Below are 18,213 nucleotides of genomic sequence, written 5' to 3'. Positions count from 1 at the left end.
GGAGGCTGAGGCACAAGAACCACTTGAACCCGGGAAGCAGAGGTTGCAGTGAGCTGAGATCATGCCTCTGCACTCCAGCCTGGGCGAGAGAGCGAGACTCTGTCTCAAAAAAAAAAGTTTTAAAACAAAAAGGCAAGACTGAACAAAAAAAAATGGAGGGCAAATAAAAGAAAGAAAACAACATTCTCACGATGTTGAATGTGTTCTAAATTTTCCAGGCAAGAGAAAAGAACAGCTGTGATTCTGCGAGTTTGCCTGAGTGTCAAGGTCAGACTTAGGAGTTGAGTGTTGTCCTGCGTGTCAGGCTGAGGTTCCTCGCTCTCATCTCTTACTTGCCCAGACTCGTGATTGCAGGGATGAGATAGTCCTGCTATAGGAAACATTTTTTTTTCTTTGCCAGATCAGCATGATCAAATGTTTCTAAAGCTAAACCAAATGACATATTGGCTTGCAAGGATTACCCACACCCTTGCATCAGTAAAAAAAGAAACAAACTGAACTGCCTGGAGGGAGTGGAGAGAGGCTATTTTGTGCTCTGAAAGATGCCCAAGGCAGCTGTAGATAGCATTGTTTTCATGAAACGTTGGCTGGGCTGGCCTGTGCATTAGCTCATGTTCCAAATCTGTCACCAGAAGAATGTAGTGAGAATCTTGTTTCAATCTTCTTTTCTTTCTCGCTTCACTCTTTCCTCAACCAGAGTCCAGCATCTACACAGCCGCTGTGGCCAAGGTTTGAAAACAGCAGTTTTGAATAAAACCTAACAGGCTTTTCACATTATTCTAAAAAGGAATGGAGGCCCTTTGATGCCCATTTCCAGGCCTTATTTCCCCACTCACCCCAGAGACAGTTGCTGCTGAGTTTTCAAACATATGGATTATCCTTTCTCTGAGGAATCTCCACTGAAACTAGAGATGGCAGAGGGAAAACTGGGGGCAGCCGTAACTGCATGCTGGCATTTGCAGCTCAGGTTGGTCATTTCTGTCCACAGGGGCACAGGCAGCAATCCAGGGATTTTGTACAACCTTCAGGGACCAAACAACCTTTTGGTCCTCAGTCCCACACCCACAGGTTCAGAACCCACCTGTTAACCCTTCATGTTTTCCTCTCACTAGCCCTATGGGGCTTTTTCCCTCAAATTTTTTTTATTGTGGTAAAATACACACACCATAAAATGTACTATCTTAACCATTTGAAGTGTACAGTTTGGTGGTATTAAATATCAGTATATCCACATTGTCGTGCAACCATCCCCATCCATCTCCCAAATTCTTCTCATCTTGGAAAACTGAAACTCTATACGTATTAAACTTCCCATTCCCCCAGCCCCTGACAATCACCATTCTACCTTCTAGCTCTGTGAATGTCACAAGTACATCATTATGTGGGATCATACAGTATTTTTTTGTGACTGGCTTATTATACTTAGCATGATCTACGTTGTAGCAGGTGTCAGAATTTCCTTCCTTTGAAAGGCTGAATAATATTCCACTGGGTTTAGATACACCACGTTTTGTTGACCCATTCACCCATCAAGGGACCCAAGTTGCTTCCACATTTTAGCTACAGTGAATAATGCTACTAGAAACATAAGGGCACAAAGCTGGGTCTGTGACACCCTGCTTTTAATTCTTTTGTCACAAGCCCTGTTGTTTTAACCTTGCTGTGTGAGCGGTGGCAGAGATGTGAGTTACCCTGAGTTACCGGCTGTGAATCTGTAAGGGTCCACAGCAACTTCAGTCCTTGCCTCCTAAAAAGAAATAATTCAACTGAGGGGCATCAAGCAGAAAGAGACTAAGGCAAGGTTCAGAGCAGGAGTGGAAGTGTATTTTAAAAGGTTTTAGGCCTGGCGTGGTGGTTCACGCCTGTAATCCCAGCACTTTGGGAGGCCGCGGCTGGTGGATCACTTGAGGTCAGGAGTTCGAGACCAGCCTGGCCAACATGGCAAAAACCCGTCTCTACTAAAAATACAAAAATTAGCCAGGCGTGGTGGTGGGCACCTGTAATCCCAGCTACTCGTGAGGCTGAACCCAGGAGGTGGAGGTTGCAGTGAGCCAAGATTGCCACTGCTCTCCAGCCTGTGCAACAGAGCAAGACTCCCTCTCAAAAATAAAAATAAAAGGATTTAGAACAGGAAAGAACTCTTAGAAGAGATCCAGGTGGGCGCCTGAAGGCCCAAGAGAAAAAAAAAGGAGGCATTTACCCTTGATCCTGGGACTTTATAGGCTGCCCTCTCTCCCATGATTCTTCCCTCAGGGCGGGCTTTCTGCATGCTCAGTGCCCTCTTTCCCCTTTGGAAGTGAGCAGTGCAGCCCGTTTAAGGAGTTATGCACATGCCCACAATATCATACTTCGCCATTTTGTCTCTTAACGCGTATGCCCAAGAGGTTGCTTCTCCCTGGGGTCTGCATTCAGTTAACACTTTTAATGTTAACAGGTGTGCAACCTCAGGAGCCGGTCTCTCCCTGGCTGCCGAATTACCGTTTTTAGAGAGGCAATGCGATAGTTGCTGGACCATCACCAGACATTCCTGGTAGGGGGGCGGGAGAGCCCTCTCCTGCCCTGCCCATGTCTAACTACCTGTAGCAGCTGGAGATCAGTCTCCTCATCGTAGCAATGGAGACAGCATACACTTAACTTCATGCTAGCGGGATCACACGAAGCTGCCTTGATTAAAGCCCTTTGTGAATTCTCAAACACTTTACCATTGTCCATTTATGCGGTGTGAAGATGAAACGAGATATGGAAAGCATTCTGCATGCAGTGAAATGCTGTACAAATGGACAGTATAGTGTGACTCATTTATGCTACCATGGGATGGGTTCTGTACTTGGCCCTTGGTGGGAACTTGGTTTCCATACATGAGAAAGTAACAAAAGGGAGGTGCAGGAGGGGATGGGGGTCCTCCCTCTAGCCCAATGCCCAGTGGCCCTGAAACTCCCTGAGTTGTGGCATCATCCCCCACCCCCACATTTTCCAAACCTCTTAATTCCTCTATTGCTGGATGGCTTACTGAAATGCTCTTCCCATGATCTCTGTGGGCAAAGGCAAATAATTTTTTTTTCTTTTACAGACAGGGCCTCGCTCTGTTGCCCAAGCTGGAGTGCAGTAGCACAATCACAGCTCACTGCAGCCTTGAACTCCTGGGCTTAAGTGATCTTCCTGCCACAGCCTCCTAAGTAGCTGGGACTGTAGGTGCATGCCACCATGCCCAGCTCATTTGTTTTTAGTCTTTATAGAGACGGGGTCTCACTATCTTGCTTACACTGGTCTCAAACTCCTGGCCTCAAGCAATCCTCCCACCTCGGCCTCCCAAAGGGCTGGGAATACAGGCAAGAGCCACTGCGCCCATCCAGGAAGGGAATTTTTAAAGGACAAATTATGGTGGTGCATAGCTACAGAGCCCACTAGACACAGCTCTCCCTGAAGAAGGAATCCTCGTGAAGGAGAAGGGGTGTGTGGTGCTTCTGTGCTCTCATATGTGACACCTGCTCACATGCACACAGGCTGGCCTCATCATGCATGACTGTAAAGACATTTTGGGTCACACTGCAGAAAAGAAAGTGTTGGGACTGGTCTCTAAGCTCGCCCTGCAGAAACAGCGAGCTGTCCTAGCTGTCCTGGGAATGATGGGGCCACAGACTACATGGCCAAGAGCAGGCAGAGCAGCTACTGTTTCCCTAGGGCCACGTGTGGAATGAGTCACTTCATCAGCTCACCACAACTGCTGGCCTGGCACCTGGGTCCTACGGAGAGGGCAATGGCAGGTAAAGTGCCATCACAGAACCACCAGGCACCGAAGACCGCGTTGCCTGCTTGGACGATATGGGCCTGGCTCACTGCAGAAGAGAGGCACTGATGCTAGAGACTTTCCCCTGGGCCATATGTATTTTTGTCTTGAAAGAGGAGTCGTAAGGGTTTGCCTACCCAAAAGCTATTTTGTTTCATATTTACATTTTTAGTTCTTTCTCCATTAAGAAAACGATTAGTGAAATGAATGGAATTCGCCTTCTTTGCTGCTATTGCTTATGTGTTCCTATTTCACCATCTTTTGTAAATAACAGTGTTGTTGCTGTCAGGGCACTTCTCCCTCACTGGGCACGTGCCTTTCTGTGCTGTGGCCAGCCCACCATCGCCTGTCCTCACCTGCCATCCATACCCTAGCAGAGCCGTGCTGCTCTGAGGGTGCCGGGTGGGGCTCCATTCTTACCCTAGCAAACTCACCAGAACAAAGCCCACCTGCCCAACCCTGTCCTTGTCTCATTTCTCAGCTTCCCGAGGCTCCCTTCCATACCCACAGAGGCAGGACTGCTAGAGCCCCACTCATGAGAATCACAGTCATTTCCCAGCTTCCTGGGGCTTCCTTCCATGCCCGCAGAACAGAGGCGGGACTGCTAGAGCCCCACTCATGAGAATCACAGTTTCCACAGAGAAGACCAGTCTAGCTTGGACTGTGGGTTCCTGGTTTTGCAGATGTAGAGTGGTGAAGGCCTAACCGAGGAGAGGAAACAGGAGTGTAACAGAGTCTCCATTCCAGGACCAGCATCTCTTCCCTCCCCTTCAGGGGTTTACCTTCCTGAACTTCTCAGTGTATGAAACACAGCAGGGGCTGGGGAACTATACAACCCAGAGGTGTGTTTGTTTCAAGTATTTTTTAGAGCAGTTTCAGGTTCAAAATTGAGCAGAGGCTGGGCGCAGTGGCTTACGCCTGTAATCCCAATGCTTTGGAAGGCTGAGGCAGGCTGACTGCTTGAGCCCAGGAGTTCAAGACTGGCCTAGGCAATATGGCGAAACCCTGTCTCTACTAAAAATACAAAAATTATCTGGGTGTGGTGGCACACACCTGTAGTCCCAGCTACTCGGGAGGCTGAGGTGGGAGGGTCACCTGAGCCCAGGAGGCAAAGATTGCGATGAGCCCAGACTGCACCACTGGACTTCAGCCTGGGTGACAGAGTGAGACCATGTTTCAAAAAAAAAAAAAAAGAAAAAAAATTAAGAAGGTACAGAGATTTCCCATAAACTCCTCGCCTCCCACTTGCACAGCCTCCCCTACTATCAACATCCCCCACTAGAGTGGTACATACGCTACAATTGATGAGCCTACACTGACACATCATTATCACCCAGAGTCCACAGTTTAATTAGGGTTTACTCTTGGTGTATAGCCTGTGGGTTTGAACAAATATATAATGATAATATGTATTATTATACAGGTTGAGTATCTCTCATCCGAAATGGTTGGGACCTAGGAGTGTTTCAGATCTTAGAATTTTTTTTTATTTTGGAATATTTGCATGTACATAATGAGATATCTTGGGGACAGGACTGATGTCTAAACACCAAATTCTTTTATGTTTCATGTATACCTTATATACATGGCCTTAAGTTTATTTTACATAACATTTTAAATAGTTTTGTGTATGAAACAGAGTTTGTGTCCATTGAACAATCAGAAATCAAAAGTGTCATTGTCTCATGTCGAAGCTCAAAAACCTTGTGATTTTGGAGCTGAACCAATTTTGGATTTTCTGATTAGGGATGCTCAACCTGTAGTACACTACGGGGTATTTTCACCGCCTTGAAAACTCCACTGTGCTCCACCTATGTATTCCTCCCTCCCCTCCCAACCCCAGAGAACCACTGATCTGCTTACTGTCTCCATAGTTTTGCCAAGTTTCTTAGAACTGGGTATAAATTAAGAATAAAAGGGCATTTCTCAGTCTCTAAGGATAAGGGCTTGGGCGCAGTCCATTTAATGACATTATTTTCCTTATGAAAAATTATAGGATTGATTTATTGACTATTTCTTAACATGTGTATGGTGTTAAATATTCTTAATAAGTTTTGGCACATTGTCCAAAATATTACATTGTAAATTTGGGAAGTTCCATAGTTCTTTTACTTAGAAGGTTTGAATTAGAGGTGAATTGCCCGAGATTTGAGAAGGAGGCCGGGAGGCAGAGAGTGGAAGGCATTTGATGTATCTGGGTTTTGATAACCACCCTGTTCATGTTTTAGTGAAGACCATCTTTGGCTTCTAAGGACTTGAGTCTGACAGATAGGCAACTGGGGGGCCCATGTGTGGATTTCCCTTGGTCTGGAATCTTCCTGATGGGCAGATGGGGAGTGAGAAATGCTCTCGAGTCCACAGTTGAAATATTTGGGGATCTTTAGTGACACCAGCCTATATCCTTTATGTGAAGGTCCAGGAGTGAGTTTCAGGCACTTAACAGTTAACATCCAACTGTCCGCTACTGTCAGAGCCTGCAGAGGACTGTGGGACAGGCTGTGTCTTGTGTGTACTTTTATAATAGTGTAAAATGTTAATGAAGTATTGCGTTATAATATGATTTTACTATAAAATGACAGAATATCTCTTTTTTTTTCAACAAGTATTCTCTAACTCTACAAATATCAATGTGGCTGCTATCAAAAAATTTTAAACATAGCGCAGATTAGGGCCACAGTCTTCAAGGTAATATTTAAACCTGGATCACCATATTTGATAGCTTTCAATGTGACCTTGAATATCCAAAGTCCTGCTTCTGTTTAAAACTTCCCTACAACAATTTAATAAATTAGAATTTTAGAGACTTTTTTTCCTTTAAATTTAGAAAGTGAGTTGAAATTCAACCTATTTCCACCACCCTTTTGCTAGCCCTAAAGAATGAGATAGAACATTAGTCATTAGAATGAACTTTAATCTAGGCCTTGATCATGAAGGAAATATTTAGATGAATGATTTGAATTTTGTTTAGACTCAGTGTAATTTTAGTCACACAGATTTTGCTTGAAAATCAGCTAGGCTTCTTTTACCCCAAGAGAAGATTTTTACCTAACGAAGTTCACCTTGCATGTTTTAACATTGATTTTTTATGCTTACTTTACTGTTAATTTGGATCAAATATTGGGTCTGGAAAATGCTCCTCCCCTTCCTACGTAACTGTCAGAGTCCATGCAACGATGGACACCTTGACATTGAAACCTCCATTACGGAGGTCTCACTGTTAACTGGAAGAATCGCAGCTGCAAGAAACTGAACAGCACCTGGCGACTTAGGTAGAATTTGAAACAGAAATGAGAAACCAACATGTATTCAGCTTTTGTGAAATTGTGTGCTTCTAGAAGCTTCTTCTTGCCCCTTGCCTTGTGAAATATCGAAGAGGCTTTATTTTCTTATTCGGAAATAGGTAACATGTTGGAAAATAGAATATGCAAATATTACACTTAGATGCTTAAAAGCAGTGACATTGTTTCAGAGAAATCCCCTTTTTTCTTTCTTTCTATTTTTGAGAAAGAGTCTCACTCTGTTGCCCAGGCTGGAGTGCAGTGGCACCATCTTGCCTCACTGCAACCTCCGCCTCCCAGGTTCAAGCAATTCTCCCACCTCAGCCTCCCAAGCAGCTGGGATTATAGGCATATACCACCATTCCTGGCTAATTGTTTGTATTCTTAGTAGAGATGTGGTTTTCCTATGTTGGCCAGGCTGGTCTCGAACTCCTGACCTCAAGTGATCCATCTGCCTCAGCCTCCCAAAGTGCTGGGATTACAGGCATGAGCCACAGCACCCAGCCCAGAGAAACCTCTTTATGTCCCATGAGCATTAGAGCAGTACCCAGAACCATGTAAGGTACTAGCAGTGGTAAATGCCTGGCAGGCTCTTTGCTCATCTTCCTCCTAAGCCAGGAACAGGCATCAGCCCTCACCCAGAGCACTTGGATCTCCCCACGTGTGCTAAGATCCCTTCGCAGCATGGAGCTTCATGCAGCAAGGCCGATGACATAAGCTGGCATGAGTTCTGTCTGCTGCCCTGGTATATCCTATAGCACCTAATGTGCTGGAAGGACTCACGTATTTAGGAACATGATAGTTCTCAGGCTGTCAGTTTTTTAAAAAGGTGCAGGGTGCAGGGGAGGAGAATCTGGAAGTTACTATTGCTTTGTCAGAGGTGAGATTCTGAGTAAAATGTTCGCACAGTAGCAATGCTTATGTACAAAATTTTTACTATGGCACAGGATTGCATCAGGTTTTATAGAGAGAGCTATTACTTTTTTATAAGACTGCCTCACTTTTATAACTGTCAGTATATTAGCTTATAATACAGACAATTGAAAATAGCAAAAGCACTTTTATATAGCTGACAATAAAGCCTCTTAGTTTGGATTCCCTGGGTTTCAATGCCATGGCCCACAGTCATTTTACTCAACAGGTTCTTCTTGAGGGCATGGGGTAGAAAGTTCTGGACCTGCCTGGGAGGTCAAGGTGAGAATGACAGCCAAGGAGCTGAAGAGAGAAACCAGCAATGCAGAAGCACAGGTGTTCCCAGAGTATTTGAGATTTCATGCATGTAAACACATTTCACTTCACATATATTAAAAAAGAAGGCCAATAAGTGTGTGAAACATTAATCTTTATTTGGTTATTACTAGAACATAAGTTTGTGTGGGCAGGGAGTTTGTCTCACTGTATCCACAGCCCCAGAACCGGGCTTGGCCTCTTGGGTGCTCCATAAATATTTGTTCAGTGGATGAATGAAATAATTTGCTAACATTTAATTTCTTGCATGTCTTGGAGATATTAAAACTACTTTAAACAAAGATGTCCTTGCTTCAGGGTTTCTATTTGGAGTGTTTTGTAAAATTGGCTTTGGGAGATGCATTGATTCTTTTCTGCCACCAGGGGGAGGTATAGTGCAGTTCAGGAATCAAGTTTTTAAGTTTTTTCAAAGAGGGGTTAGTACTTCAACTGATACTCTTAGATGTGGATAACTGTGACTAAGTTAAATCAGCACTGCAGGATGAGGTTTAAAGGTATTTCAGCATATTTCAAGCTTAACACAAGCATGTGTCCGGGTTAAAAATAATATCCATAAATACAGCCTGATAATGTGCTTAAATATAAAACATATAAATAGGTTGCAAAAGATGACTGAATCTTTCATCATTTTATGATCACTTTCTGCCACCCAACCAGATGGCATATGTGATCTACTAGCCAGAAGGTGTAAAGTACATGTTAAAGTGAACAAATACTCTTTTTTTCTTCAGAACAGGAAAAGATCTGATAAAAATCTATCATTCTGTCCATGCGGTTGGCACCGTTTTAATGTCGGGGGAAAATGCAGTGGTTCTAGTTCTGCTTCGTAGACAGTGACTAAATATATACCGTCAAGGCTGAGTGTCAGGGGCTGGCTCAGTACAATCAAGCATGTGAATAGCTCTTTTGTGCTGGGAACCTGTTGGGCAGCCTTACTTAATTGGGGAGCCACGGGACAGGAGGTCTGGTAATATCTTTATTATTAAGGAGAGAGTCCCAGGGGCTGGAAGGGAGGAATTTTCCTTTACAACTTTTTTTTTTTTTTTTTTTTTTTTTTTTTTGAGACGGAGTCTTGCTCTGTTGCCAAGGCTGGAGAGCAGTGGCGCAATCTTGGCTCACTGCAACCTCCGCCTCCCAGGTTCAAGCAATTCTCTGCCTCAGCCTCCTGAGTAGCTGGGATTACAGGCACATGCCACCACACCTGGCTAATTTTTTGCATTTTTAGTAGAGACGGGGTTTCACCATCTTGGCCAGGCTGGTCTTCACTCCTGACCTCGTGATCCACCCACCTCAGCCTCCCAAAGTGCTGGGATTACAGGCGTGAGCCACCACGCCTGGCCAACAACATTATTTTTAGTGAGAACAAACTTAATTTTAGTTCAGTAGACATTGCCTATTATGTGGGAAATTAATGTATTCTTTTATTACTATCTTCAGTTTGCAGTTCCTGAGGTCTTGAGGTTTGGCCATATAAGAACATCCAGGTAGATCAAGGTCTCTCGGCAACTCCAGACCCCCTGTTCCAGGAGTCTTGATTGACAGAGCTTGCTGCAAGTCAGTAGCCAGCAGCTAAATTGTCTCACCTCGTTTTCTTTTCTTGCCTGGTCTCTGGGTGGAAGTTCCAATTAGGGCTCAAACAGCCCCCAAAGCCGGCAGCTGAAGAGGAAAGGGGGAATACGGTGGTGCTTCAGTGCCATCTAATTTGGCCTTAAACAGTAGGAAATTAGCTGCTTGTCATTAAAATAAACAAATGCCAGCCTGTTCCGTGCTGCATGCTGCAGGGGACTTGCAAGGGGACTGGTGAAGTCCCCACAGTTTCTGGGGTTTACAGGGGGCCCAGAGCCGCTCTCCTCCCCTCCAGATTCCCACCACACTGTTGGCCAGCTGTGGATCCTCTCCTCCTTTGCCTAAGTTAGAGGAGACAAAGGTGAGTGTGAGCTGAGTGCTTCAGTGTCGAGGCCGTGCGGGCGATGATGTGATAGGGCGGCATGGGGTTGGTGTTACTTAAAACTCCGTTTCCCAACGCTGCTTTCCACAGAGCTGGAGGACAGGCTTTTGGTGTCGAGTGTCTCACATCCTTGTTTTTTTTCCCTTTGGCATGAATATCTAGACAGGAATTTCTGATAAACTCCTGTGAACCGAAAAGTCACCGAGGCATCTCAATCCACTTAAAGGTTTATTTTGCCAACATTCAGGATGCTCCTGGGGAAAAAGGGACACAAGTCCCAGTGGGATGAATGTCCTGTGCTTTTTCCAAACTGGGTTTGGGTTTGAGGACTTCAGTATTTTAAGGACAAGGAATAAAAGGGGGGGTGGGGGAGGTAGGAAGTGAGGCAAGTGGTCACATTCTTGTGAGGCTCTGATGAGCATTCTGTGAATCTACATTTTACATGTGAAAACAAAGGAGGGGGAAGTCAGTTACGCATTTATCTCTTGCACAGTAAATCTACATTTTACATAAGGTACCCTAAGCCTGTGAGGTCACAGCTATCTTTCTGGGGACAAAAGGCAGGCAGCTTTTGTGTGACTCGGTTCCTAAGCTTCACTTTCCGTTTGGCATAGTGAGTTTGGGGTTCCCAAGGTTCTATTTTCCTTTCACGCTCTGTCAGAGAATTTCCTAGGGACTATTTTGGTTTGGTAAATGCTGAATTAGTGTAAATTAAAAATCAATCGCTATTTACATCCCCAACATAATGGCCCTTAATAGGCAACCATTTTTCATGAGTCTTGTTTCAGACATCCCAGACTCCATTTCCCAGAGAAGCAGAGAATGAATGGGTGCTGTATGTTCACTGCTGGGTGTCCAAGAAACTGCACAGGAAGTGTCTTAACGTGAAGAGAGTCCGCACTGGACACCGGCACAAAGGGCAGAGTGAAGGGACGAAGTGTCAGATGCGTCTCTGCCACCAGCACACGTTTCAGCGGTGCTAGATTTGACTAGGCACAGGACTCTAAACTGGTGGTTTGCTGACTATTAACCTCCACGGTATTGCTATCTCATGCTCCTTGACCCCTTCCTAATTTTGCTGTGGTTCGGCAGCTCCAGTCCACTGTTGAAATGCTGGTAGATTTCAAAACTCCGTTGGGACATATTAAATTCTGGTGAGCCAGTGGGTGGGATGCCTTCTGAATGACAAAGGGGCCCCGTGGCTAAAAGCTGAAGGAAATTCATGCAATGATGAATGTGCTGCAATTAATCACCAGAGATCTGTTCTTTTCCTTGTATGCGTAGTACAGTGCAGGGGCCAGGGTGGGGGAGAGTCTCTGAGTCCAGATCTTCATAGAATTAAAAATAATGAATATTTGTAATCAGGCATCGCTTGACCAACAACTCCGCCTCCTTAGCTGGAAATACAGACGTCCACTTTTCGCTGGTGTGTAATCATTTTCTGGAATGCTAAGAATTGTTCCCCTGACCTATGGCTTCTTTTTAAGCATCCGGGATATGCAGTCAATTTGCAGGTTGCTGTTTTGAAGTCAGGGAGTCTCGGAGATTGAATATATGCCACCTAAGTTCCTGCAAGATGGACTTTCTGGGAGTCCTCTGATGAGGTTGGGAGAAGGCAAAGAGGAGACGTTTCCATGTAAAGGCTGAGCAAGCTCCAGGCCACTGCAGAAGTTCAGCTTTCTTCAGCTCTGTAAGCTGGACCCTGTGGCTGGAGTCTGGCCAACTGCAGGGACAAGTTTCTATTATTATGTAAATGGAGTCCCAGTGCGGCCTTGGAAGAGTTTTTGGCACAGGGTAACCCTTTGTCTGCCAAAAGGTAGCCTCTCCCTTTGCTTCAAGCCCAGAGCGTGCATTGTGCAGTGGTGACCTGTAAGCCACCCGTCAACCTGCAGATTGCCTTATTAGGCAGACTGCGGAGGCTGGTGGCTGGGGACTGGCTGGCAGAGGCGGTGGCAGTGAGCTTGTGTCCTGTACGAAGCCGGAGAACCCGAGCCCCGGAGACGTGGCCTAGTACTGTTCTATTAATGATAGTGCTCTGTGATGACAGGAATATGCACTCTCCTTGGCAGGCATACTTTATGGGTTGGTTGGAGAACAGGAGGTTTGCAGGGGGAGGTGACTGTCCGAAGGACAGAATGGTACGAGGCTTTCTTCACTGCGTAGCTTGTGTGTTCAGTTCTGTATCAGGGCTTATTCTACGGAGTATGGACTTTATCGGGAAAATTTGTTTTTAACTTTTAAGTTCAAGAGTACATGTGCAGATTTGTTATATAGGTAAACATGTGTTATGGGGGTTTGTTGTAGAGATTATTTCATCACCCAGGTACTAAGCTTAGTACCCATTAGTTATTTTTCATAATCTTCTCCCTCCTCCCACCCTCCACCCTGCGAAAGGCCCCAGTGTGTGTTGTTCCCTTCTATGTGTCCATGTGTTCTCATCATTTAGCTTCCACTTATAAGTGAGAACAAGTAGTATTTGGTTTTTCTGTTCCTACGTTAGTTTTCCAAGGATGGTAGCCTCCTGCTTCATCCATGTCCCTGCAGAGGACATAGTTTCGTTCTTTTTTATGGCTGCGTAGTATTCCATATTAGGAAATGTGGAATGTTTTCCTTTTAATGCAAGATGTTTTGTGGACTCTCAGAATCTTGTTTATGTTTTATAGTAAACTTTTTTGAATGGTGAGGTCATGTGTATAGTAGGGAGGAAATATAACTAGATAGTCAGGTGGTACAATGGAAATGGCAGAGTTTTAGGAGCCAAGGGACCTGCGTTCCACGGCTGCCACAAGTGAGCTAAGTGGAATAAGTCACTTGCATTAGGGAGGTGATTTCCCCAAGGACAGAATGGTATAGCTCATGTATCTAGGGCTTAGTGGGCAATCACTAGTGATCACTAGTGAATCTGTGATCACTATACATTATACATATCCAAACATCACTCCGTACCCCATAAATATGTACATTTATTATTTGTCAATTAAAAACTAAAATAAAAATGTAGAGTAGACTGAATGCACTCAATAACCTCTCCATCGTACATTTCTCTCCTCAAATTGCATTAACCAGCCTCCCCTCTCCTTTTTGTTCTCTTCAGTAAAGCTGTTTAATGAGTGTGTGTGGTTAATAGCCACAGCCGAGCATCCACGGGGACCGTTTTCCCAACGGAACCTGTAAGGCTGAATCCATCTTTTCTCGTTTGAGTTTCTTCCAAACTTGCTGCAGTAGCTGAAAGTTAGTGAAGACGGCACTTTCCTGCACTGAAATGCTCGTTCAGATGCCTCAGGTTCTATGGGTTATGGCTCATGGACCAAAGCTGCACATGAGGCAAACGAACACCTGGAGGAGCCTGCGTTCAGGATGGGGCAGTGACCGCGCTCAGAGCGCTCTGGCTCACATCCCTTGTCTAAGCGGCTTCTCATTCATTGAGCTGAGGCGTCGGACACCTGCCGGGAAGACAGACGCGAACCGCGGCTCACTCTGACTCCTGACTGCTCCGGACCCCGGCTTCAGTTCTCCCCTCCCTCCAGAGATCTTGGGGCACCAGGGCTCATAAGCTGCTGCATGAGAACAGGGACGCTCTTACTGCTGGAGTCAGATTCAGAGTGTGTGTGTGTGTGTATTTTTAGCACAGTTGGGAGATGACATCTGAGATGCTGCTGGCTCAGCTCTGCTGGTGTCTCTTTTGAGCATGGAGCGGTGTCCTCGTTGTCTTCTTTTCATTGCTTATATCTGCTGCTTGCTGTTCAGGGAAAGCACAAATTCACTTTCTCCTCTTGTTAAAAAAATAGTTTGGCGGGCGTGGTGGCTCATGCCTATAATCCCAGCATGTTAGGAGAATGAGGTGGAAGGATTCTTGAGGCCAGGAATTCAAGGCCAGCCTGGGCAACATAGTGAGGCCACTGTCTCTATAAGGAATAGGCTGGGCATGGTGACACACTCCTGTAATATCTGCACTTTGTGGGGCCAAGGCAGGTAGATCACTTGAGCCCAGGAATTCAAGACCAACCTGGGCAACATGGCAAAACTCTGTCTCTACAAAAATTAGCCAGGTGTGGTGGCACACACCTGTGGTCCCAGCTGAGGTGGGAGGGTCACTGGAGCTCAGGAGATCAAAGTTGCAATGTGCCATGATCATGCCATTGCACTCCAGCCTGGCCAACAGAGGGAGAACCTGTCTCAAAAAAAAAAAAAAGGAAGAAGAATAAAAATATTAGCTGAGCATGGTGATGTGCACCTATAGTCCCAGCTACTTGGGAGGCTGAGGTGGGAGAGGACTGCTCAAACCCGAAGTCGAGGCTTCAGTGAGCTGTGATTGCAGCACTGCACTCTCTAGCCTGGGTGATGGAGCAAGACCCTGTCTATTTCTTTAATGTATTTTCTCACCACCTGAAGACCAAGCAGCATGATGTATCCCAGCTTGATGTCTGGGTGTGACAAGTATCTGAATTTTCTTTTTCCACTTGGGCTACAGGGATGGCTCTGATGCTTCTTCACGGGCTGTCCACGGCCTCCCTTCCCACCTCAGAATGCCCTGGCTGGGCCCACAGCACGTTCCGTCTGAATGTGGGTGGCTGTCTTGCCGAACCCGTGTCGACTCCATGGGAAGGCCGCAGGTTAAAGAGGCCGAAGAGGAGACCCAGAGCCAGTGAACGAGGCACGGGGTTCTGTTGTGGGCTTGCATACAGGGGAGAGAGTCCAGTGGCAGCGGGCTGAGTGGGAGAACCACAACCGCTTTCAAAAGGCATGCAGTTTATATAGCAATAGCATGTCCACTTGGCACCTCCCCGACAATCTCCACCTGGCAGCCTTCACATACCCCAAAACAAACAGTCCAGACCCCCTGTGCATGCAGTGGTGGCAGCAGGGCAGGGAAGCTGCTCAGATGTTCCTCATAGATAAGGAACGAATCTCCAGTTGGCCTCTCCTGGATTCCTTAGCTTGGAACCCTGAACCCCATGCAGGTGCCGCTGCCATACAGGGCCATTCTCAGGGTGTGCCTAAGTGATTGCTGTCAGGCGCATTTACCATGCAGAGGGATGGGACCATTTAAGCCCACGCCCCGGTTAGGCCTCTTCCCAGTTCCAGCTCCCACACTGTCCGCTCTTCTTCCTGGCACGGAGGTGAGGGCCCATGGCCTCCCTGTTCACCTATTGCCATCATCTCCTCCACAAGTAAGCTCTCCAGTCTCGTCCTCCAGGAAGCCTTCCTTCGTCACACTCACCCCATCTGATTATGCTGTTTCCCTGTTTCTTCCCAGGCTTTATATCATCGGTGGCTTGTATTCATGGTTTTCTAATTCTGTGGGCGTATCCTAATCACCTGTGGTGGGAGGACTTTCATTTTAAACAAATACCGCAAGTGGTCTGAGGGCCACCCAAGTTTGATATCCTTTGCTTAATCAGATGTTACACCCACGCATAAACGTGTCTTGAGTCATTTCAACAGACAGTGTGGAATGTGCCTTTGATTTATTTTGTGTCATGACCTCCCCAAGGCACCTGCACTGTGAGCACGGGATCTGCTTTCCTGGTGCAATAATATGACCATGAAGAAAGCCAATCATGAAAGTGTGAAATATCACAAACACGCCCTCCCCTACCCCGCATCAATCAGCAAGGGGCTGGGGACCTGTTCTGAAAGACTGGTAGGTCTTGGGTACCAGTTAATACAACCCATGGAGGCCGGGTGCAGTGGTTCACACCTGTAATTCCAGCACTCTAGGAGGCCGAGGTGGGAGGATTGCTTGAGCCCAGGAGTTTGAGACCTGCCTGGGCAACATGTTGAGATCCCATCTCTACAACAAATACAAAAGTTAGCTAGGCGTGGTGGTGGGCCCCTGTAGTCCCAGCTACTCAGGAGGCAGAGGTGGGAGGAATTGGCTTGAGCTTAGGAGGTCGAGGCTGCAGTGAGCTGTGATTGTGCCACTGCACTGCAGCTTGGGCAACAGAGCCAGACCCTGTCTCAAAAAATAAAAAATAACCCATGGAAAACAAGGGTGACACTGGAGATCACAGGTTGATGAGCTTTTCTTGCATTTTCATACTGATTATTATTGCTGAGATTGTCATTGTTGTTACTTTATTAAGATGCCCTTCTGAGAACAAGGAGAGCCAGAAATTACTTTATTTGAAACTTTCCTTCAAATTATTGGAGTCTAGCTCTAGAACAGCTATGATCTATCTGGTACCAACAGACATTTTATATATGTGCTTGTCTGCTATCTGGACTTTTAGACTCACAGGAAATTCTCCTCTGTGACGACTCAGTGTTTCCCTGCTTTCTGTTCATGTGAAAACCATCAAGTAGTGAGCACTGAATGACTGGATTTGGCAGAGCCTTCTCCGCTCTCCCTGGACGATTGTAATCAAGTCAGCCCCTTCCCCTCTGCATGAGGTCTTCTTCTCACGAGAGGAGAGGCATGGGCCCCCGCAGCTCTGAAGGTGTGGCATGCTGCACCTTATGTCCTGGGATGCAGCCACAGACCCCATACAGTGAACACCTAGGTTTACTATTATTATTATTATTATTATTATTATTATTATTATTAGAGACAGGGTCTCACTCTGTCACCCAGGCTGGAGTGTAGTAGCATGATCAAAGCTCACCACAGCCTCAAATTTCTGGGCTTAAGTAATCCTCACTTCTCAGCCTTCTGAGTGGCTGGAACTACACCATCATTCCTGGCTAATTTTAAAATGTTTTTGGTAAAGATGGGGGTCTCACTATGTTGCCCAGGCTGGTCTCTAACTCCTGGTCTCAAGCAGTCCTCCTGCCTCAGCCTCCCAAAGTGCTGGGATTACAGGTGTGAGCCACCGTTCCTGGGAACAGCTAGTTTTATGTTTATTCGTCACATCATTGTTTAAGAGCCCTTTGTGGGTTGGGGCTTTGAACAGGTCAGAATCGTCCTTGGCGTCTCCTGGCCTCTGGCAAGTGGTGGGCCGGCCATGTGCCCCTCACAAGAGCTGTTCTCCAGGTGCTCAGCATGTGCCTGCATTGTATGTCAGCTGTGATTTGCCCTCAGTGTACATTTTATTGTAGATTGCACTGAAATATACACACCATGACATTTACCATTTCAACCACGTTTAAGTGAACAGTTCGGTGGCATTTAGGTGCATTCGCTCACAGTGTGCAGCCATCACCACCATCCCTCTCCAGAACTTTTTCATCATTCCAAATGGAAACTCTACCTATTCAACAACTCCCCAATTTTCCCTCTGCCCAGCCCCTGATAAACTCCCTTCTACTATCTGTCTCTGAATGTGACTGTTCTAGAAACCTCATATAAGTGGGATTGTACAGTATTTGTCCTTTGGTGACTGGCTTATTTCACTTAGCATAATGTCTTCAAGGTTCCTCTACATTGTAGCAAGCATCAGAATTTCCTTCCTTTTTAAGGCCGAATAATATTCCATCATATGTATATTCAGTGTGTAATTTAAACACAGAACTGACCTATGTCTTTCTTTTCTGACAATCAGCTGACCATTCTCTCTTCCTCTGAGGTACCTGAATTTTTCTTTCCAAGAGTCATTAGCCATAGATTTGGAATGAACCAGAAACTAAAACGATTGGAGATAATTTCATTACAAATGTTAACATTACTCTTTTGAACATTAACTTTAAAGACACTAATAAGTCTTTTAGGTGATTGCAATAAGCCTTTTCTTTAAAAAAGAATTCTGAAGTTTAGAAAGGCTGGCATGGTTTTCTTTCAACACATCCGATAAAGAAAAAATAGCTGTGACTTGCAACATTTCTTATTGAACGTACTTTGCCTTTTCATCTCCACCTATGTGGTCTGTTTCAAATTACCTTATGCAGTGATGTAATGCAACATTTTATTTGCACGCTTGTCCAAAATATTACCACTAACCAAAATTCACAGAGCATCTCACAGTGCACGCAGGAGGAGAATTAGACTAAAATGAGGAATCTGGAAAGTCTGACTG

General features: G+C 45.6%; 1 protein-coding gene across 4 annotated transcripts in view, besides 4 other annotated features; it reads left to right on the top strand.

Annotated features, from left to right (window-relative positions):
- SVIL (supervillin) overlaps positions 1-18,213 on the top strand; it is a 279,599-nt gene that overhangs the window by 137,397 nt on the left and 123,989 nt on the right. The window lies entirely within an intron of this gene.
- Positions 13,230-13,730: an enhancer, noted in NCBI's record as "NANOG-H3K4me1 hESC enhancer chr10:29874739-29875239 (GRCh37/hg19 assembly coordinates)". NCBI's record gives its function as "activates a minimal SCP1, AML or CMV promoter by ChIP-STARR-seq in naive H9 embryonic stem cells {active_cell/tissue: H9 hESC(naive)}" and the evidence as "EXISTENCE:reporter gene assay evidence [ECO:0000049][PMID:30033119]".
- Positions 13,731-14,231: an enhancer, noted in NCBI's record as "NANOG-H3K4me1 hESC enhancer chr10:29874238-29874738 (GRCh37/hg19 assembly coordinates)". NCBI's record gives its function as "activates a minimal SCP1, AML or CMV promoter by ChIP-STARR-seq in naive H9 embryonic stem cells {active_cell/tissue: H9 hESC(naive)}" and the evidence as "EXISTENCE:reporter gene assay evidence [ECO:0000049][PMID:30033119]".
- Positions 14,509-15,008: an enhancer, noted in NCBI's record as "H3K4me1 hESC enhancer chr10:29873461-29873960 (GRCh37/hg19 assembly coordinates)". NCBI's record gives its function as "activates a minimal SCP1, AML or CMV promoter by ChIP-STARR-seq in naive H9 embryonic stem cells {active_cell/tissue: H9 hESC(naive)}" and the evidence as "EXISTENCE:reporter gene assay evidence [ECO:0000049][PMID:30033119]".
- Positions 15,009-15,510: an enhancer, noted in NCBI's record as "H3K4me1 hESC enhancer chr10:29872959-29873460 (GRCh37/hg19 assembly coordinates)". NCBI's record gives its function as "activates a minimal SCP1, AML or CMV promoter by ChIP-STARR-seq in naive H9 embryonic stem cells {active_cell/tissue: H9 hESC(naive)}" and the evidence as "EXISTENCE:reporter gene assay evidence [ECO:0000049][PMID:30033119]".

The sequence above is a fragment of the Homo sapiens genome, chromosome 10 (assembly GCF_000001405.40).
Source record: "Homo sapiens chromosome 10, GRCh38.p14 Primary Assembly".
NCBI classification, from domain to species: domain Eukaryota; kingdom Metazoa; phylum Chordata; class Mammalia; order Primates; family Hominidae; genus Homo; species Homo sapiens.
Note: the sequence above shows the minus strand (reverse complement) of the source record. Positions and strands in the feature narration are given on the sequence as shown.